We start from the raw sequence: 22452 nt of genomic DNA, 5'->3' as shown, positions 1-22452 counted from the left end.
TTTGAATTACTTATTTTCATAATGTATACCCATGAAACTACCCCCAATATCAAAATACAGAAATGTGACAGGTCTCAGTTAATTTAGAAAGTTTATTTTGCCAAGGCTGAGGACGCGCACCTGTGACACAGACTCAGGAGGTCCTGATGACATGTGCCTAAGGTGGTCAGAGCACAGGTTGGTTTCATACACTTTAGAAAGACAAAACATCAATCAACATATGTAAAATTAATATTGGTTCGGTCTGGAAAAGGCAGGATAATTTGAAGTGGGGAGGGGACTTCCAGGTCATAGGTAGTTAAGAGTCAAATTGTTGCATTCTTTGGAGTTTCAGATTAACCTCTCCAAAGGAGGCAATCAGGTATGTATTTATCTCAGTGAGCAGAGGGGTGACTTTGAATAGAATGGGAGGCAGGTCTGCCCTAAGAAGTTCCCGGCTTGATTTTTCCCTTTAACTTAGTGATTTGGGGACCCCAAAATATTTTCATTTCACATTTCCCCCCTTTTCTGTTTAAAGTCTTTTGGATTTTGTAAACTCTATGCCAAATCTTGACACCTTATAGTATTTGGCAGGGATAAGTATGAAATTGCTTGATCAATAAATGCAAACAGAAATGTATGCTGGTAATTCTTAAGGCATTTCTAATATTACTTTACCAATAATTTTAAAGCTAGCTTATTTATTAAAGATTTTACTTAAGTCATGTAATCTTGACAAAACATTTGGCTATTCTTTCATTTTTCTGATAAAGTATTTGAATTAAGTGCTTTTATTTTTCTTTAAGCCAATTAATTAGAGCTCTTTTATATATTTTCAGTAGTGAGACATTGTGTGCACCACACATAAATACATAGACATATTAGATATGCTGATAGAAGTACATCTTAAAGATGTATAAAAACCTTTTTTTCCCCTATCTTAGACTTTCAGATACTTGATAACCTATTTCATAACCCTAGGCAAGTGTCAGCTAAATAGCTTTAAATTTGCACATTAAAGAAAACAACTCTGGTGAAAATCAAATAGCAAAATTTACATCATAAGGTATGGAGAGAAAAATTCTGGTATGCTAGAGGAAGATTAAAGATGGATGCCAAATCAAACATAAAATTATAAATACCTATCAGGATTGTATAAGGAGACCAATTTTATTTAGATAGGGACTACCTGTCTTTTAACTGGATCTCTGAGCTCTGGGGAGAGCCCACACTGAATCCGGGGTTTCCAAAAAGGAAGAATTATTATGAAGCTAGACCATGTGATGTTTTTACAGTGGACTTAGAAAAAATCTTTCTTAAAACAAAGACATTTCTAAGTGTCTAAACCGCACTCTTCTTTAAGAACCCAAGAGTAGCCTCTGTTGCAATAACTATTTTATTCAGTAGATCAGGTAACACAATACAAAAGGAAACAGTTTAAAAGCTGAGACACACTTGTCTGCTTATACTCTTTGGGTTCCATAAGGAAAAACAGGTTTCTTTCCCAAAGGGAGTTTGGCACCTTCTCCATTTTCTTTAAGAAACCCCAGTCTTTTATAAACTAGTTTAGGTCCATCATGCAGCAGAGGGTGCAAGAGAAAGGAGAGACAGCAGAAGTAAATGAAGAAAACAGAATGCAGCCAACTGAGAAAAAACAAACTTTTGCTTAAGGTCCTAGGAGAGAAAAAAAAATAAAAACACAAAGGCCTTTAAACACACACGCATCTTGGATGTTAGCTTTTAGCACATGTCATCAGGACCCCCTGAGGCTGTGTCATGGGCACACATCCTTAACCATGGCAAAATAAACTTTCCAAATTTACCAAAACCTGTCTCAGATTTGGGGGGTTCACATGCTGGTAACCACAAAGGGATTCTGAGTGGAGGTGCCCCTGACCTTTGACAAATATATTGGTGCTTGGTACTAGTTTGAGCTATCTTTATGGCTCAAACCAATAGGACAATTTGCTGAGGCCTGGAAGCACCCCCTCCAGAGAGTCCCTGATCTCCCAAAATTTGGTCAAGATCTAAAGTTAACTTTGTGGTACAATTCCCTTTTTTGGGGGAGTTTTACTTGCTTCCAACACAAGGAAGACAAGTTTTTCCTACTTCCATGATGATGAAAGGTAGGTAAACTTCCATCTTTATGGAGTTTGAGCTCATTTTCAACAGAGAAGATGAATTTTTTTTTTCCTGTTCCTAAGATGGTAGAGAGCAGTCTTCAGCCTGAGACCCATCCCTAAGTAAGTAGCTGAATTGGGATTTGTCTTGGCTAAAGTTAAAATTAACAACCAGCCGGTCTTAATTTCTTCTTACCATTAGAGTGCTCAGTAATCATGTAAGTTATATGTTTGCTTGTTTTGCCTCTCCAAAGGAGGCAATAAGATATGCATTTATCTCAGTGAGCAGAGGGGTGACTTTGAATAGAATGGGAAGCAGGTTTGCCCTAAACAGTTCCCAGCTTGACTTTTCTCTTTAGCTTAGTGATTTGGGGGCACCAAGATATTTTGCTTTCACAGCCTTATAGGGGAACTAAGGTTTGCATGCATCAATCACCATGATTTCTGGTTATAGACACTAAACACGGGCTGCCACATGGTTCAGGCACTTTGTACCATCAGAGTTCAGAGAAGGAACTAGTGACCACCTAGTACTCATTTTCCTTTTACTAGGCTTGGCCTCCACGTGGTTCCAGGATGACGTCAGGAATACAAATCAGCTCAGTTTGGAGACTTAGCATGCTGTATAGCACCATAAAAGCCCAAAGGAACAACTTTAACAAAGGTTTGTATAAACTTCCTTACTGCATGTATGTCTTCTATACAGTAGCATTCAACACAAGTTCCCCTTGAAATTCAGCCACCTGCTTGGCACCATAACACACATCCCATAATAAACAACAAACATATTTTCAAGAAAGATGAAAGCACTAAGAACTTGTGAGCCATCTGAATATGGTGATCTATTTTGCATATTTTCACAAATTCAAATGTACTTACAGGAACAACAGAATAGTATATTTTAATTAGGACTGTTCTCAAAAAGGAGAAATGCATGGGGATGTGCAGCTGTCATAAAGCTAGGTCACTATAAACAGACACCATTTACTTCTCTTAGAAGTGAGAAATATATCCTAGGATTTTGAGAAAACAAACACTGGTGGGTGTTGTTTTTTTCCAGAATGGCTGACTATTGAGAAGAGTTAAAAATACCTAAGGGATACAGCGTGTGCCAAAGATTGCAAAGGAAGAGCCAACATTTCCTACTAATTATGAATCTTGAGTTATATCCTTTCAGCAAAAAACAAGCATTGTGAGGAGTCAGCATACAGACCCAATCTGCTTTTCACACCTCTCTTCCCTGCCTTCACCCCCGCTGACTCCACCAGCTAGTGCCTGCCGTGCCTGAGATCCTGTATGCACTTAATTAATATTTGTTGAATGAATAAAATGGTAAATACAATGTCTTAAATGGACCCATGTGATCTCCTTCCTCCCCTCTATGAAATCCTATACTACAGAAAAGATATAATAAACTTGGACCTAAAAAGGCATCACACATGACTGTGAGAAGCCTCCAATCTAGAGCAGTGGTTTTCTACCCTGGCTGCACATCAAAATCATTCAGGGAGCTTTCTAAAAACACTCATGCCTCAGCCCCACCCTCAGAAAATCTGATTCAATTGAACTGGAGCAAGGCCCAAGCCATGGTGTGTTTGTTTGTTTTTTCTAATGTGCAGCCAGGACAGATAATTTCTGGTACAGTCCAACCACTTCAAAGGTGCAGAGGCTTGATGTCACTTCTCCATAGCCAGAGAGCTTGGAGAAGGCAGAGGCAGGACACAAAATCACAGCATCACTGAGTCACTCCAACATTTATCAGCTCTTTATCTCATGAGCATCTTCCTTCTCACTAACTTACATTTCTGACTTCCATTTTTATCATTCTTATATCCACTTAACAAATTGTTATTAAGCATCTACCATGTGCCAGATGCCAGGTGCCAGGTATATGGCAGCGTGAAAGAAAAATAAATCTTGGGGCCCTTAAATCACTAAGTTAGAGAAGAGTCAAGCTGGGAACTGCTTAGGGCAAACCTGCCTCCCACTCTATTCAGTCACCCCTCTGCTTACTGAGATAAATGCACATCTGATTGCCTCCTTTGGAGAGGCTAGTCAGAAACTTAAAAGAATGCAGCTATTTGTCTCTTATCTACCTATGACCAGGAAGCCCCCTCCCCACTTTGAGTCTTCCTGCCTTTGCTTCAAGTTGTTCCACCTTTCCAGGCCAAACCAATGTACATCTTGCAAATGTTGATTGACGTCTCATGTCTCCCTAGAATGTATAAAACCAAACAGTGCTCTGACCACCTTGGGCACATGTCGTCAGGACCTCCTGAGGCTGTGTCATAGGCATTCATCCTCAACCTTGGCAAAATGAACTTTCTAAATTAACTGAAACCTGTCTCAGATTTCCAGGATTCATGTTTTGGTAACCATGAAGGGATTCTGCATGAAGATGCCCCGACCTTTGACAAATCTCCTATCGGTGTGTGGTACCAGCACAAGCTAACTTTATGGCTCAAACCAAGAGGACAATTTCCTGAGGTCTGAGAGTACATCCATAGAATCCCTGATCTCCCAAAATTTGATAGAGATCTAAAGTTTGTTTTGCTGTACATCTCCTCTTTCTTGGAGTTTTATTTGCTTCCAATAAGGAAGGCAAGATTTCCTGTTTCCATGATTATGGAAGGCAGGTTACTCCTTTATGGAGCTTGAGCTTGCTTCCAACATGAAAGATTAGTATTTTTTCCTGCTCCTAGAATGGTAGAGAGCGGTCTTCAGTCTGAGACCAATCCCTAGGTAAGTAATTGAATTAGGGTTTGTCTTAGCTAAAGTTAAGATTAACAACAAATTTGTCATAAATTCTCCTTACCATGAGAGTGCTCAGTTATCATATATGTTGTGCCATCATTTGTTTTGCTTGTTTTGTTGTTGTTGTTTGTTTCTGTTTTTCTTGTTGTTTTGGTCTTTTTCCCACTGGTTCTGATTAACTCTATCTGACTTGATCAAATCTGAAGGAAAATTTCAAATTATGGGGAACAAGGCCTCTAAAGTGGCTAAATTCTGCCCCCCCCCAAACACACACACACACACACACACACACACAAAGTTGGTGTGGTGGTGGCCGTATTTGGCCAGTAAAAAGGAAAAAAAAAAAAAAGCAAAGATTCTTTACGTTGACTACTGAACGGACTTTATTTACATAACAAGGCCACCTTTTTCTTTCTTTTAAAAGGCTCAAAATAATAATGCTCTCCTTCAACTCATTTTCAACTCATGTAAGTTTTTTTCCTCAAGTTCTGTTTGTTGTGCGTTGATGCTAACAATATTTTCTTAAGCATCTAAAGGAAATGTTTCCTTCTAACATAATATTCTGTACACTACAGAAGGTCTTTTCTTTTGCCTTTTGGTAACTGGCCTAACAGATTTTATGTTTTTTTATCAAAATAATTCCTATGCCATTATTATTGAGTTTTGGTTTGCTTAGGGAAAAACTGAGATTAAAAAAAATTTGAATTAAGGTTATTACATCTGTGTACTTTTCTGTATGTGCTTTTAAGGTACTTGTGACATTAAGTTACAGGACTTTGACTCCTGGGTCTAAAAAGGACACAAAGTCCTTCTAAATCTTAAACACTGCAATTAAAGCCTCATTTTCAGGCCCCATAGAAGATGTCAATCAAGGCTGGCGTGGGGGTTCATGCCTGTAATCCCAGCACTTTGGGAGGCTGAGGAAGGTGGATCAGGAGTTCAAGACCAGCCTGGCCAACATGGCGAAACCCGGTCTCTACTACAAATGCAAAAATTAGCTGGGCGTGGTGGCAGGCTCCTGTAATCTCAGCTACTCAGGAGGCTGAGGCAGGAGAATTACTTGAACCTGGGAGGCGGAGGTTACAGTGAGCCAGGATTACACCACTGCACTCCAGCCTGGGCAAAAGAGGGGGATTCCATCTAAAAAAAAAAACCAAAAGATCCCAATCAAAATAAACTGCATTCCTGAGACACACAGGACCAGAAATTAAAGCCATTCAACTCCTCAAGGCCCAGGGTGTATTGCAGAAGAGGTGAGAGTGTGAAATTATAAGGGCCGATTTTTAAGAGATAAAATAAATTCAGTTTCTCTATAAATTAACCATTAATGTCAAAGACATACTGATGCAAGACTAGCATATGGGCCTCTGTGTCAGATTAACAAGGTTTTCTTGAAGCATTAACCAACTCCTTAATAAAGGTTATAAAAGGCTTATGGAAGCTACATCTTATGATCAAGGCTAACATTTTATAATTGTTTATAAAATTTTGAAAAAATTAATTGGCTTCATGCTGTTTGCATTGGGTCTTATCATTTGGAAAATTAAGTCTTATCTCTCAAAGAAGGAAGGTTTTTGCCTTTTTAAAAAAATCCTTGAGTTATCACTTTGGTTAAATGAATGACTTATTTTACAAGACCTGTAATCCTATTTTGTGCTATAAAGTGTTTTAAACCTTTGATATTTGACAAACTTTCCAAAATCAAATTATAAACTGTCTTTTTCTGACCTAATTAATCCTGTAAGATATTATTAATAGGTACCCTAAAGTCCAAAAAATGACATATATGGCTTATTTATTTGGCATATAAATGCTATAGGAAGGATTGTCAAATATGAAATGTTGCTTGGTTTTCTTTGGGCTGTATTTGTTTAAATATATTATTGGTATGTGTTACAAAATTATGGAAAACTCCTATAATTCTGATATGACTTAGTGTACATTATCAGTAATAACTGTTATGTTAAATTATTGTGTGCCACAGAGGTAACGAATTTACTTGTCAATTGTGTCTTTGACTATGGCTGCCCTAAAACATTTTGTCATCCACAGACAATTGTTGTCTTGTGTTGGTCCTCTTAAGAGGTGGTTTTATTATTGGCTATATGACTCTAACAGGTGCTCTTGAATACAGGTTTCTGATAACTTTGAAGATTGTGACATCAGAATAGAGGAAAACTTTCAGGACTCATAGAGAGCTAACATGTTCATGAATACCAAACATAACAAAAATTATCTACATGGACTAAGCTAATAGAAGTCTAAAGTAATCTTTTCAACTGAAACATTGCTGATCCTTTCTTTTGTTTTTCAGAGTCAAGAAAACTTTTAAGCTATTTACAACTTTTAACAATTGAGTAAAATATACTCCTATGAATAAAATGTGGAGTATATTTGTTTTCTCTCTACTTGATTTCTAAAGAATTTGGAAACTATTTGTGAGCATTATTAACTCATGACAATACACTTATTTGCATAAGTGCAGTAAGAATCTGTTTTCATTTGTAACAGGACAAAATTGGAGAAACTGGTTATTTTGCCAAGGCTTTGACTGGAATGGTGTGCTTTCCTTTAAGGAATCAAACTTGACTGATGGAGCCAATGAAAGCCCTTGGGAAAACTGGCCTCATCCTTGTCTACACAGTATAATGTGGCCTATATCAATTTTTCAGAATTATTTTTTAGTTTGCTGCTTTTCTCCCTTCCTCCCCCTATTTTCTCTTCATAGGACATGAGACTTCACAACATGCTAATAATGAGCTTTCCTAATAACTTGGCACCTACCTGTCTACGAATAAACCATTCTAAGCCATGAGAGATCCAATGAAATCTGAGCCCAGAGACTCGGTTTCTTCTAAAGTGCTTTCTCAAAAAAATTTTTAAAAAGAAAAGGGGGGAAAAGTGAAAGGAAAAAAATTCTTGGGGCCCCCAAATCACTAAATTAAAGGAAAAAGTCAAACTGGGAACTGCTTAGGGCAAACCTGCCTCCCATTCTATTCAAATTCATCTCTCTGCTCACTGAGATAAATGCATATCTGATTACCTCCTTTGAAGAGGCTAATCAGAAACTCAAGAGAATGCAACCATTTGTCTCTTAGCCATCTATGACCTGGAACACCCCTTCCTGCATCGAGTCTTCCCACGTTTGCTTCAAGTTGACCTGCCTCTCCAGGCAGAACCGATGTTCATCTTGCATATGTTGATTGATATCTCATGTCTCCCTAAAATGTTTAAAACCAAGCTGTGCTCTGACCACCTTGGGCACATGTGTTCAGGACCTCCTGAGGCTGTGTCACAGACACACATCCTCAATCTTGGCAAAATAAACTTTCTAAATTGAGACCTGTCTCAGATTTCCAGGGTTCACAGCAGTAAGCAGAACAGCCAGTTTCCTCTCAACTTAGCCTTAGCAGGAGAGACCTCTGTGTCTGGAAGCCTTTCCCAACTTGAATCATTTTGTCTCCACTAGTTTGTGAGTATTTTGAGACTAGGAATCATGAGTTATTATTCATCTTTGGAGCTGCAGTGCCTAGCACATTGCCTGATATGGGGGCAGATTTGATGTTTGATGGATAAACAAATGAATGCAAGTAATTCCTGAAGGCTTTTACATCTAATAAAGAAAACAGAAAAATGTCAAGAAGACTGCTTGCTTTAGCAGGGCATTCTCAATTTTATATCATAAAAATCCAACTTAAATTTGCTGAGTCAAAGAGGGCATTTATTTGCTGATAAATGGCAAACCCAACCATGCAGAATCCCAGAGCCCAACCCGTGTAGTTAGGCCTTTATCCCTTTCCTCAGTTCCCCACTCAGTTTGTCTCATCTTGGTTTCATTCTTAATCCAGGGCCTCTCCACATGACAGACAAGATGGTCCACCAGTACCCCCAGGTTCATATCCCATTTTTAGTATGCCAGCAGTGGCCACACATTTCCAGGGAAGACGCTGATGGCCCTGTCTGCCCATTCTTGAACCAAATACTTTGGTTGGCAGAGAGGGTACTTCAAATGGACAGCATGGTTGACAAGCCCACCCCAAGCCAGTCAGCAGGGTAACACTAGTGTCGGCCTCACCAGGAACACATCGGAATTGGCAAGAAATCTCCTTTAGAAACCAGAAGGAGATAGGAAAGTACAGTGGATTACGATGTCTTCTATGTCTTCCTTCCTATCTTTTTTTTTAAACAGGGTCTCATTCTGTCACCCAGGCTGGAGTGCAGTGGTACATTCATGGCTTACTACAACCTCTGCCTCCTGGGCTCTAGTGATCTTCCTGCCTCAGCCTCCCAAGTAGCTAGTACTACAGACGTGGGCCACCATGCCCAGGCTAATTTTTATATTTTTTTTGTAGAGATGGGGTCTCAGTATGTTGTCCAGGCTGGCCTCAAACTCCTGGGCTCATGCAATCCACCTGCCTCGGCCTCCCAAAGTGCTGGGATCACAGGTGTGAGCCATCACACCCGGCCCTTCTAGGTCTTTCTATCTTCCTGCTCCACCATCCTTACTTAGCATGATGGTTTTTGCATTCATTTATGTAACTTAATGGATGCAAGACACATGCCACAGATCTGAACAGAATAAATGTTTTCAAGGCAGAAAGAAAGGGGGAGGGGAAGTCCCAGCCTTAGCTGTCCTTTTTATGAGGAAAGCAAAAACTTTTCCAGAAACACCTCAAAAAGACTTCCCCTTAAATATCACTGGCCAGCACTGGGTCACACTGCTACCCCTTGTGGCAAGTGAGGCTAGAAATTCTAGTTTTGACAAAGTGAAATATAATTTCATGACTAGTTTGGACCAAAACTGATTGCCCCACCCCTCCATCGACCTCTCCTGGAGACTAATTACACTTGCTCTGAGCCCCCAGAGCATGCTGGGCCTCTCTGATCCTAGCGACATATGCACTGTACAGCGGTTGCTTTTTTTTTTTTTTTTTTTTTTGAGACGGAGTCCCCCTCTGTCGCCCAGGCTGCAGTGCAGTGGCGCTATCTCGGCTCACTGCAAGCTCTGCCTCCCGGGTTCACGCCATTCTCCTGCCTCAGCCTCCCGAGCAGCTAGGACTACACGCACCCACCACCACGCCCGGCTAATTTTTTTTTTTGTATTTTTAGTAGAGACGGGGTTTCACTGTGTTAGCCAAGATGGTCTCGATCTCCTGAACTCGTGATCCGCCCGCCTCGGCCTAGCGGTTGCTCATTTTTTGCAGCCCCCACCCCTTGCTAGGATTTCTAAACAGGTGCCCACATCCTTGTATCCCCAGCACTTAACACAGTGCCTAGCTTCATTCCACCGGTTTATTTGAGTGACTGCCATGTGCGAGGCTCTGTGCAAATAAAGCAGGCGATTGGTGAACATTTCCTGGATGGATGGAGGGATGGATGGATGGACTGATGGGTGGATAGATGGATGGATATCATCACTGTGCAGTGGTTCCCATCAGGGCAGCCTGAGTCTCCCCACCCCCTCCCCTCATCCCTCTCACTCCAGGCTGTCATTTCACTTTCCTAAAAGCCTTCCCTTTGCCCATGATGCCAATGACTAGCTCTGTCCTGAAGCAATAGCTAGTACTTTCCCTCCTTCCTGCCACCTAGCATCCAGCCGAACCTTGAATCAATACCAGTAAAATGGGTGTGAACGGAAGGAGGCTGCTCATTATTTGCCATTATTTACCTCTGAGTCTGTGCATTCCCATTCCTTCCCATATTAATTCTCTCCCGCGCAACACCCCCCCCCCCCCGCCCCCCCATCCTTGGGAACTGGTTCAACCAGAGTACAACCAGCTCATCTGCATCTGGCCCTAAAGAACCTGCGGCAGCCAGAGGCGGAGGAAGAGAGAAGGCTGCATAGGAGCTGCAGCGCGGTGCGGCCAGCACACACCCCGGCCCGCGAGGCCCCGGGCTCGCCCATGAGGCCTCTGCCCAGCGGGAGGAGGAAGACCCGAGGCATCTCCCTAGGACTCTTCGCCCTCTGCCTGGCCGCAGCCCGCTGTCTGCAGAGTAAGCTCCGGGGGACGCCCCGGGTGCTGGGGGAGCGGGAATGGGTAGGGGGGCACGGGCGGGGCCCCGGGGTCTAGCAGCGGCCCCCCTGGCCCTCGCCCACCTTGTCCGGCTGAGGGCGCGCGGTGAGCTCGGCTGGCAGGCACCGCGCCGCTTCCTCGTGGGGCTGGGCGAGGCCTGGAGACCCGGCGCCGACCGTAGCGGGAGGGGCTGGGCAAAGCAGAGGCTACCGGCCGCGGCGCCCCGGCCCACTTCGGGGCGCCCGCCCCACCCGGCGAGCCCGGCCTACGGTTATCAGAGCTGGAAGGTGGCCCAGAGATAACCGGCTCCCAGCCCTGTGGCCGCCGCCTCTGCAACATTTTTTATTTCTTTTTCCTGGAATAACCAGATTGCAGTCCGTGCGCCGCCCCCTACTGTGGGGACCCCTCCATGGCCTTCCTGGTCATCTCCCAGGAGAATAATCAGGCCTCCTTATCAGTCAGACGAACCCACAGCAGCCTGCTCCCGTGAGAAAAACGGTTCTGGGGTTTGGGTTGGGCGTTGTGGCCTGAAGTCCCCAGGCTGGAGGTGGTCCTCGCGACCAGCGCACTGAGTAGATTTGCTTTGGATGGCCGGACCCGGAATCCCCAGCCTGGTGAGCCTGGATGCGAAGCGTAGTCCCAGAGGCTCTCTTGGACACAAACAACAGATCTTAGCACAGTTTTACTTTCTCATTTAATCATTACCATTCGCACTCCCATCTTACACATGGGCCAACTGAGGTTTAGAGAATGACAGAGCAGGGCCGCTGGAGGTGAGAGGCCTTGTAGTAAGAGCCAGCACTTATTAAGCATTTATGCATTCACCATCCCTCAGACTTTACAAGACCTCTCTCATTTAGTCCTTAGGGCAACCCTAATAAACTACTCTTATTCCTGTTTCACAAGTGAGGAAACTGAGGCACAGAAATGTTATAAGCCAATCGCAGGGGCTCATGCCTGTATTCCCAGCATTTTGGGAGGCCGAGGCCAGCGGATCCCTTGAGTCCAGGAGTTCAAGACCAGCCTGGGCAACATGGCAAACTGTCTGTAGTAAAAATATGAAAAAATTAGCTGGGTGTGGTGGCCTGTGCCTGTAGGCCCAGCTACTGGGGTGGGCGGCGGGGGAGCTGAGGTGAAAGGATCACTTAAGCCCAGGAGATTGAGGCTTCAGTGAGCCCTGATTGTGCCACTGCACTCTAGCCTGGGGAACAGAATGAGACCTTCTCCAAAGCGAAAGAAAAAGAAAAGAAGAGAGAGAGAGAAAAAATAATATTATGTTAACTTATACAAGGTGACTGAACGATCTAACATTTTTGACCTTTACACCTCTCTGGCTAGAACCCAGCTGCAGAGGTTGCAAATCTCAGAAACCCAGTAAGACAGAGGCATGTTCCTCTGGCAGCTATGGATCAAGAAAACAGTTGGTTGTTAGTCTCGAGCAGGTGGATGGGTGTGTTTGTCATTGCAGTGGCTTTTTATATTATTTCTCAAACCTTTATCACTTGTTTCTAATCACCATACTTACACATCTGTTCAGATACCCCTCATGCTCAGGGACCAGCCATTTGCAATAGCGTATAATTCATTCATTCACTCACTCATTGACTGTACCCTCTCCCTGCAGGAAGCAGGCCACAGTGGGTACCTAGGATATGGTGGTTCACTGTTTCGTTCTCAGGAAGCTCAGGTGTCATGGAGAAGACAGACATGCAAACAAGAGGGGCAGCCTTGCAATGGCAAGCCTTGAGAGGCAAGAGGTGCCATGTTCTAGAAGCCCTAGCGTCTCAGAATCCAGACTTGAGGAAACTTCCCCAAAACAGCCCCACCTGCCCATACCTGCCAGATGGGTAGGAGCAGCTCGGGGGACAGGACAAAGGGAATGCAGGGTGTACCAGACAAAATGGCACATGCAAAACCTGGAGGCCAGGTAAAAGTTTGCAGTTTTCCATTGAGACCTGTCTCATGGACAGCAGTAAGCTCCAGGAGGGCAAGCACTCTGTTTCAACTCAGGGTCCCTAGCACTTGCCCAGTGCTAGCCAGGGCCTGCGCCCTTAAAAGACGTTAAATGAATGTGTGCCTGCCTGAATGAAGCCTGTGCTTTGGAGCCAGTCATAATGATGAAGAGTAGGCCTCCTCCTTCCTACCAGTTCCCTGCATGCTCTACCTCTTCTGCCTGTGTCAAAAGCTTCATCCAGAACCTCTGATATTCACTATTTACCCTGAAGTCTGAGTTAAAGCATGCCAAACACCCTGCTTTTGAAACCTTTCCCCTACAAATGTATGGGTCCTCCCAAGATTCATATATTCAAGCCCTAACCTCCAATGTGATGGTATTTGGAGGAGGGGATTTAGGGAGGTGATTTGGTTTAGATGAGGTCTTGAGGTGGGATCCCATAATGGGATTAGTGTCCTTATAAGAAGAGGAAGAGAGACCAGAGCTCTCCCTCCCAGCTGTGTGAGGACACAGCAAGAAAATGCATATTAGCAAGCCAGGAAGAAGGCCCTCACCAAAAACTGGCACCTTGATCTTGAGCTTCCCAGCCTCTCCAGAACTGTGAGAAATAACTGTGGTTTAAGCCACATCAGTCTATGGTCATCTGTTACAGCAGCCCAAGCTGACTAGGACAAGGACTTATGGGCTCGGAAAGCTGGCAGGCCTCCCCACCAGACCAGGCACCTTTCTAGAACATTTGTTCATGTCCTTTCCCAGTACATTAGCCATCAGGCTCACGAGTACCCACCCAGTGCTCCCTCTCATTCGGAAGTACTTGATCCAAGACTATAGTAGGATAGTTTAGTTAATGGCCTGGGCCAGAATCAACTTGCTTTTTTCCAATCCCAGTTTCTAAGTAACAGTCAGCTCCCCCAACACACACACATATACACACTGGGGCCAGTCCTCAGAAAAATAGAGGAACAGGGCTAGGGCTGAATCTGAAGCTGAGGAGGGAGTGGACAGACCCAGGGATGCCACAGCCAGAATGGAGCTGTGGGTTCTGGGCTTAGTGGAAGGTGGGGGCGGATGGGATGAGGAGGGAGCCAGTATAGAAGGAATCCTCTCAAGGCCCTTCACGAGACTCTGGGTCCATCACTCCATAAGTCCTCAGCAGCTGCCCAACGCTGCCATCCATGTGGCAAACATCTTAGAAGCACCTACTATGTTGCCGTGGGCCGTGCACTGATCCCTGATCAAACAGAGACACATGAGGTGTGGTCTCACTCTGCACTGTCCTTTCAGATTTATAAAAAATATTTTTGCATACATACAAATGTACCCACTGGAAAAAAAGTGAGTTTCCAATGTACTTTTAAAAAATGCAATCATGGGGCCAGGTATGGTGGCTCATGCCTGTAATCCCAGCACTTTGGGAGGCCGAGCCGGGCGGATCACAAGGTCAAGAGATCGAGACCATCCTGGCCAACACAGTGAAACCCCGTCTCTACTAAAAATACAAAAATTAGCCGGGCGTGGTGGCAGGCGCCTGTAGTCTCAGCTACTTGGGAGGCTGAGGCAGGAGAATCGCTTGAACCCGGGAGGCAGAGGTTGCAGTGAGCCGAGATCATGCCACTGCCCTCCAGCCTGGTGACAGAGTGAGACTCCATCTCAAAAAAAAAAAAAAAAAAATTAAAAAAAATTTTTTAAAAATGCATTCATTCTGTACTGTTTATTCAGCAACTTAGTTTTACACCAATTTTTTTTAGCTCTATCCATGTTGATAAAGGAAGTGCATTCCTTTCAACTTCTCTACATATGTCATCATATAAATATGCTGCTTTTTACTTAGCCAGACCCCACTGATGGACAATTAAGCTTTCAGCTTTTAGCCCTCACTCAGGGGAGAGAAACTCCTCATACAGGGTGATGTGTGCAGTGCTAGTGATGCGCACATCGTATGGAAGAGGTGCCAGCTCCCTGGCTGATGGGCACCCCTGCACACACACTTCCTCCCCATCTCAGAAAATGCCTGAAAGACAAAATTGAAGCTGTTGGGGGTGCGGGCTGGAGTCAACTGGAAAGTCACACAAATGTCTTACTTCCTGATCTCCAAGAGCCTTCCTGAGTATGCTCCCTGCTGGTCTAGGAGCGGGGCAAGGGCCAGGAGACTCTCCTCTCCATTATCCCCAGGACCTAAGGACAGCTATATCCCTTATCTGATGTAAGACTCTTTGGGAAAAAACAAAAAAAAACTTACTATATCTAAAGTCAGAATTCATGTTATAAATCAATAGCTTTGAAGCTGGGCACAGTGGCACACACCTGCAGTCCCAGCTACGCGGGAGGCCGAGGTGGGAGGATCACTTGATCACTTGAGCTCAGGAGTTTGAGACCAGCCTGGGCAACACAGTGAGACCCTGTCTCTAAAACAAACCCACAAAAAGGCTTTAATACAATTTTTGTCAGCCTGGATTGAAGTTGAGTTATTCCAAAGAGAATGTGTGTTGCTTCTGCCAGTCATGGGAGGCATCCTGCCTGGCGAGTCAGAAAACACTTCATGGAGCAGGTGAGGTTGACTCTTGAAAGATGAGTAAGTGTGTACAGCAGGACAGGGTGGAGAAGAGAATTGGAGGCATACAGCAGGTGCTCAAAAAATAGGTGCACAATACCTCTGGGGACCTGGCAAGGGAAGAGGGAGTGGAAGTTGCCCTAGCATGCACCCATGGGAACTTAGCCACTGCCCCACTCAGAGACCCCACTGATGCTGGAGCCCCACTGTGCACCCAAGACGCTGGCTTCTCTGCACCTGGATTTTCCCTGGAAAATGGGCTTGGAGTTGGAAAGTAATTACTTATCCAGCAGGAATGAGAGTGGGAGGGATGGGGATTGACAAGTTTCAAGTTGGAAACGACTCGCCCCTCCTATAACTGGTTTGCTGGGCTGGGAAGTTACCCGTCATCCTTTTAGGAAAAGGAAAAATGACACACTGGACAGTAAAAGGAGCACAGGACATTTTTTGTCCATGTGTCCAGCTGGTCAAGGGAGCATGCTAGGCTTTCTCTCTGCTGAGACACACCCTGGGGCAGTTCAGGTCCGTGCCATGCTGACCCCAGAGGAGCCCTGCTGCAGAGAATCCTCAGCTGACAGCGCCCATGCCAATCCCAGTGGTGTATGTAAGCCCCATATGTGGGGTCATCTTTCTCTGAGTGTACACGGACCTAGTAAGATGCCCACATCCTGCTGTAGACCAATTAGATCACTATCTCTGAGGGCAGGACCCAGACACTGTTTTGTTTTGCTTTTAAGTTCCTCAGTGGTTCCAATGTGTGGCCAGAGAACTACTGCACTAGACTAGACCATTCCCCTCCATTAGTCTGATCCTATGGAAACAGCTGGTTCAGCACATCTCCCTCCTGCTGTTCTCAGAACACCCAACGTTGTGTCTTAGAGTCTCACCTGTGTCTTTGTGGTTTTATCCTGACAAGCCTGAAAATACTTTCCCACAAGGCTGAGGGCAGAAGACAAGGCTGCTTTGCTGGGAAGTCTGGTTTGGCTCAATAAATGGTTCCTGAGCACGCACTGTGCCTGGAACAGCTTGCCAAGAGCTGGGGTAGCAGCGGGGCCCTGCACTGAAGGATTGTAAGTCAAAACCTAAGCAGCTGATTCGCTGTCAGATGCCCTGGGGGCACTGAGAAAGGCAGTTAGCTCGGTTTGGAATGGGAGGAGCTTCTTGAAGAAGAGGCCTTGATGGCAACGTAGGAGGTAGTCAGGTAAGGAGAGAGAGAGAAAGTTCTTAGCACTGGCGAACTGTGAGGACAACCACCTTCTCTTTGTGGGCCAGTAGAAGGGGTGATCATTCTTTACTTTAATCAGGCTTTTCGACTCATGTTAATTTCCTTGTATGCAGTCTAACTAGTTGTCTGATGGTTAAGGGAATGGAGCTTGGGAAGGTTTTGGAGCTTGGGAAGGCTTTGCATCTTGGGTGAAAGGTGCTGGAATAATTCCTCCAGTAGGCCCCTATATTAGTGCCAGAGGAGAAGGGCGATGTGGGTCCTTCAGCACTAGGCACGGGTAAGGGGACCTAATGTCAAGCTCCTCTGACAGTTTGCCCTTCTGTACTCATACAAGATTCCTGCCCCAGACTCACTCTGGGACTGGATCACATTCTTTTTGAAAGCCAATGCCTCAAAGCAGAACACCAGAGCTCCTCTCTCCTCTCCCCATCCACCAAGGCTTCCACGCACTTCGGGATGGGATTTCAGAGGTTCTTGAACCAGAACTTTCTCCCTTATGTCAGGTCAATTCAATTCCACAGCCCATGCTTGTATGAGTCACATCACATACTGCTGTGTGCTGGTGATTCGGACATAAGCACAATGTGATACCTGCCACACTTTCTAACAGGGGAGATGGGCAGTCAGTCATCTAACGTGAGTGGAAGGCTGGTGTGAGCTGTGCTGTGGGAGCCTAGTGGGGCCTGGCAGAGGAGATGACATTAAAGATGGGCCTTGAAGAGTGAGCAGGAACCTGAGAATGGGAAAGCGGTGAGCTGAGCTGAGGTTGAGTGAATAAAGGCCCAGTGGGTGATGGTCTGTAGTTTGGTACAACTGGAATTGGGGGTGAGGAGTCATAGGAGATGTAGATGGAAAAGAAAGTTGGGACCAGATTACTGAGGTCTGTCAGAGCCAGGGAAGACAGCTAGATGTGTGGCTTAGAAAGATCACTGATAATAGCCTCCAGCCAACTGAAGAGATGAAAAGCCAGTATCTCCTCAGTTTTTTATAACTTAATAAATAACAATTACAAGACAATAATAACTGTGACTGCTTACCAAGCACTTCATGACAGGCACTGTAACAGCTGCTTTTGATTCATCTTCAGAGTTAGCCTGCAACGAGATGCCATTAGTCCTTATTTTATAGGTGCAGAAACTGAGGCTCAAAGAAGTTGAGGGACTTGCCTAAAGACATTCATTCATTCATTCATTCATTCATTCAGGTACATATGAGAAGTCCACAGTGCCAGGCACTGTGCTAGGCCCTGGGGATTCAATGGTCACCAAGACAGACCAACCCCTGTGTTCACATAGCTGACGGCAGATCGAGGAGGATGAACCATTCATCAAGAGGAATTACAACAGAGAGGGATAAGTGTGTTGCTGGAGAGAAACAGGGAACAATGGGAACACAGAAATGGGACCCTTAACCTGGTGCTAGGGATTGGGGAAGGCTTCCTGGAGGAAATGATGTTTAAACAGAAACCTTAAAGGATAAAGAGGAATTGGCCTAATAGTTTTTCTGGAGGAGAATTTACTCGAACCTGTGGTATCCAGTTACGCATGTGCCTGAATTCTCTTTTTTTTTTTTAGACAGAGTGTCACTCTGTTGCCCAGGCTGGAGTGCAGTGGCGTGATCTCAGCTGACTGCAACCTCCGCCTCCCAGGATCAAGTGATTCTCCTGCCTCTGCCTCCTGAGTAGCTGAGATTACAGGTGTGCACCACCACACCCAGCTAATTTTTGTATTTTTGGTTTCACCATGTTGGCCAGGCTGGTCTCGAACTCCTGACCTCAAGTGATCCACCTGCCTTGGCCTCCCAAAGTGCTGGGATTACAGGCATGAGCCGCTGTCCCCGGCCCTGAATGATCTTCTGATCACTTTATACCCCTCTTCCAAGTACCTTCAGGCATCCTATAACATCCCCTCAAAAGAATTGTTGGGAGATAACAACACCTCATTTTCTCCCTTATCTTCCTATTCAACACACATTTACTGACCGCACCTTCTAGTTCCCCAGGCTGGCCGCTGGCCCAGGCCTGACTCAGTCTTGCCACCCAGCTTTGCAGACGGCAAACCCAGCCAGCTCCCCAACCCCTTGCACACTGGTGCAGGGTGAGGCAGTGGCTGCTGTCATGCCTTGCTTCCTTGGCATCTGATCAGAATCACGGCAGTGGCTTTTACATACCCTGTGGTCTTTCAGAAAACAGTCCAGCTTTCCAGCAAGGTGGCTCTTGTTGGTGCCTGGAAAAGGTGTGGTAGGAAGATTCTAGAAGGAATTCCACAGGAAAGAATTTCAGGTCGCCCAGTCTTGCCACACTTCAGAAGTGAATCGTAGGTTTACAAGTGCTTATTCCAGTTCCATTATGTGATCTGGAGCAGAAGAACCAGCCTCCTCCTCCAACACTCCCGGTCTCAGATCTTCTGCTTTAATCCCTGGTACAACTCCAGCTTCTGCTTACATACCCCCAAGGATGGGGAGATCATTACCTTACCAAAAAAGCCTGTGCATCTTCAAAGAATTATCATTAATAATACCTACTATTTATTGAGCTATCACCAAGTGTTAGAGACTGATAAGCTCTTTACATATATTGTCTCATTTAAATTTTATTCTGCTGCAGGAGGCGGGCACAGCACTATTATATTATCCTTATTTCCTAGGTACCATAACAGAGACTGAAAGAAGGTAACTCACTTACCCCAGTTCACACAGTTGTTACTGGCACAGCTAAATTTTGAACACCAGTTAGTCTGACTCTAGAATCCATGAATGCATCTGTTCTACACACACTGCCTCAATTCCGTTCACCAGAACCTGTGTCCTTTCACTCTTGATCCATTGACCCTGGTTCTGTTAATGACTGCATGTCCCAAAACTTTCCTTCCCCAAGATAAGAAGTGCTGCATCACAGACTAGCCCCTGCCTGGCAGGTATGGTGTTAGCAGAGCAGTGTCAGAGGAGAGGAGGGCCTGGCCTCCTGGGACCCTGAGGGCATCCTTGGTGTCCTCTTCGCCCTGAGGTCTTACAGAATCCTTTCAGCCAAAGTTCTAAAAGTACAGTTTTGGGACCACCAGCAGTGTCACCCTACTGAATGAGAAACTGGAGACCGGGCCCTGCAATCTGGTTCAGTGATCACCTCCAGGTGGTTCTAATGGAGCCAAATGCTGAGAACCACTGTGTTAGAGTTTTGAAGAGGGTGAAGGAAGCATCACCTAGGTGTTACCAGAAGGAAAGCCTTGAGTGAGTTGTCCAGGTCCTTGGTGTTTTGAACAAAGAATTCAGCAAAACACATGAAGTAACAAAGGAATGAAACACAGGAATGAAGCAGCAAAAGCAGGGATTTGTTACAGCAAGAAAGCACTCTGCAGGGTGGGGGCAGCCTGAGCCAGAGTTTACAATGTTTTCTGGGTTAGAAGTACTCTTTTGAAGTCCCTGTTGGTTACCCCTTACCTGGATGAAGGATTAGGTCCGTGGCTAATTAAAGGCTGAAGTGAATTGGTGGCCTATGCAGATAAAGAGATGACCCATGCTTGGCCAGAGGCCAATCTAAGGCACTCTCCCTTTCCCTCTGAGACCTGGAAGAGGGGGAGAGGTGTAGAGAGAGTAGCCTCTGGGCCTGCGAAGGTGGGGTTTTTCCTTTTGGTTTAGCTTTACTGCGTTTTTGTTAATTGGCCTTAGGTTCCTTGCCCCCAGACCCAGGTGTTTTCCCTTTTATTTAACTTTAGGAAATTATCATGAATTGGCCTCAGATTCCCTGCCCCAGACCTTGGTGTTTTCTCTTGATTCAGCTTTAGGAAGTCAGCACGAATGGGCCCTAAGTTCCCTGCCTATAGACCCTATTCTCCTGCCTCAGAAGCACTTGTTAGAAATGCACTTTTAGGACTCACCTCACCCTACTGAATGAGAAACTGGGGACCGGGCCCTGCAATCTAGTTCCGTGATCACCTCCAGGTGATTCTAATGGAGCCAAATGCTGAGAACCACTGTGTTAGAGTTTTGAAGGGGGTGGAGGGAGCAAATGGAATGACTTTGCCTGCCTGTTCTTCCTCCTAAGCCCCCAGAGCATCCCTAGAAATAGGACTAGCCAGATACAGTAAAATTTGAGTGATGCCAGAAATAGTCCATTTCCCCCAACTGTCTTCCTGAAAGAGCTGTCCCTAGTGTCTCCAACACTGCTCTTTCACATAGTTCTTTGGCTTCAGGCGTTGTGCCTGCTGTAAAGGAATTCTAATAAATGGTCTTCAGCTGCTAACACCTCAGTGTGGATTAGCTCAGTGGTTATCAATCTTGATGCACGCTGGAAACACATGGGAAGTTTTAAAAAATCACAGAGGCCTTGGTCACACCCTCAGATGCTGAGTTCATTGATCCAGGAGAATGTTGTAAAACCTTCCCCAGATGATCTAATGCACAATCAAGTTTTGAAAACAACAGATTAGCTGATTCAGTCCTTTTCAATCAGAAAACTGAGGACAATTATTTCTGGAAATAAAAGCCACAGAAGGGCATTTGCTAGGGTGGCTTATACAACAGAAATTCATTGTCTCCAAGTTCTAAAGGCTAGAAGTCTGGGATCAAGGTGTCAGCAGGGCTGGTTAGTTCTCAGGCCTGTAAGAGGGACTATTCCATGTCGCTCCCTGGCTTCAGGTGGTTTGCTGGCAATCTGGCATTCCCTGGCTTGCAGATGCATCCTCTGATCTCTGCCTTCATCTTCACACGGCACTCACTCCACGTGCATGTATGTCTCTATATCCAAATGTCTCCTTTTTAGAAGGGTCATATTAGATTAGGGCTCACTGTAATGACCTCATTTTAACTTGATTACCTCTGTAACAACCCTATCTCCAAATAAGGTCACGTTCTGAGTTCTGGTTAGGACGTCAACATATCTTTTTGGCGACACACTATTCAAACCATAACAGGCAAAAAGGGCGGGAGCTTTGGGTAGAGCGCAGGTCTGAATGGAACCAACCACTACCTAGATTCCATCCTTACCTGTAGCCTGCAGTTCCCACCCATGCCCTACCAGGCCTGATCACGCCACTGCCCCACTTCCTCAAGCTGGCACTGGTGGACTATGATAATATTTCTTTTTAATGCACCTCATAGAGAGTGCTTACTGCGTGTCATACTCTGAGTTTTCACAACCATGCAAAGCAGGCGTTGCTATTCCCACTTTATGCCTGAAGAAAACAGATTCAGGGAGGCCAAATAACTTCTAAGGAGCAGGAGACACCCAAGGGAAAGTGTATTCAGAGGGAAGTAGAGGTACCTGCCAGGGGCAGAGGTGCCAGGCCTCTCCCTAGACCTGGAACCAGGACCCCAGAAGCCATATGTGTCCACGGCAGCAGCTCCTTTCCCCAGCAGTCCCTGGGCCACGGGAGCCCAGTCTCTCCTGCTGCCCGACAGCCTCTTGCCAGAACCAGCTTTCTCTGTTCCACTTACTGTGGCCTCCAGGAAGCAGCCTGTCTCTTGGGGCCACCACAGGGTCTAAGAGGCCCCGCATCCTAAGTTCACACTCTCGGGACAGAGAATCTGATTGGCCCAGTTCAGATCAGGTATCAGCCTTGGGCCAATCACTGCAAGCGGGTTCTCAAGGCCCTTTCTGCAGGGGCCGGGCTGTAAGAAGAGCCTGGCGTTGCTGGCTGGGCAGCTGAATTCACTCATTAGGGACTCCTAAGTGGGGCTGGAGCATGGGCCCAAGAGCAGGAGCTCCTTAAATGTTGGTCCCCGACCCTGTCTTTCCCCCAAATGCTTCTTGAGTGGAAGGAGACTGAATTCTCTTGGTCTGGAATCAGGGCTTGTGCCCCTGGAATTGTTCTTGGCTGTCAGGCTTTCTTACCTGTATGGTTTTGTTTGTTTATTCATTT

At 45.3% G+C, this 22452-nt stretch overlaps 1 protein-coding gene across 2 annotated transcripts in view, besides 1 other annotated feature; it reads left to right on the top strand.

The window, feature by feature from the left end:
- Positions 1–10640: 10640 nt before the first annotated feature.
- VSTM5 (V-set and transmembrane domain containing 5) overlaps positions 10641–22452 on the top strand; it is a 32387-nt gene continuing 20575 nt past the window's right edge. For both annotated transcript variants that reach the window (XR_001747865.2, NM_001144871.2), the window contains exon 1: positions 10641–10847. Coding sequence is in view for 1 of the 2 variants with exons in the window: in NM_001144871.2 (NP_001138343.1) it covers positions 10757–10847 (91 nt within the window). In the remaining variant the exon portion in view is untranslated. The remainder of the gene's footprint in view (positions 10848–22452) is intronic.
- Positions 21496–21996: an enhancer, noted in NCBI's record as "H3K4me1 hESC enhancer chr11:93572429-93572929 (GRCh37/hg19 assembly coordinates)". NCBI's record gives its function as "activates a minimal SCP1, AML or CMV promoter by ChIP-STARR-seq in naive H9 embryonic stem cells {active_cell/tissue: H9 hESC(naive)}" and the evidence as "EXISTENCE:reporter gene assay evidence [ECO:0000049][PMID:30033119]".

This window comes from Homo sapiens, chromosome 11 (assembly GCF_000001405.40).
Source record: "Homo sapiens chromosome 11, GRCh38.p14 Primary Assembly".
Lineage (NCBI taxonomy): Eukaryota > Metazoa > Chordata > Mammalia > Primates > Hominidae > Homo > Homo sapiens.
This window is presented reverse-complemented; position numbering and strand designations above follow the sequence as displayed.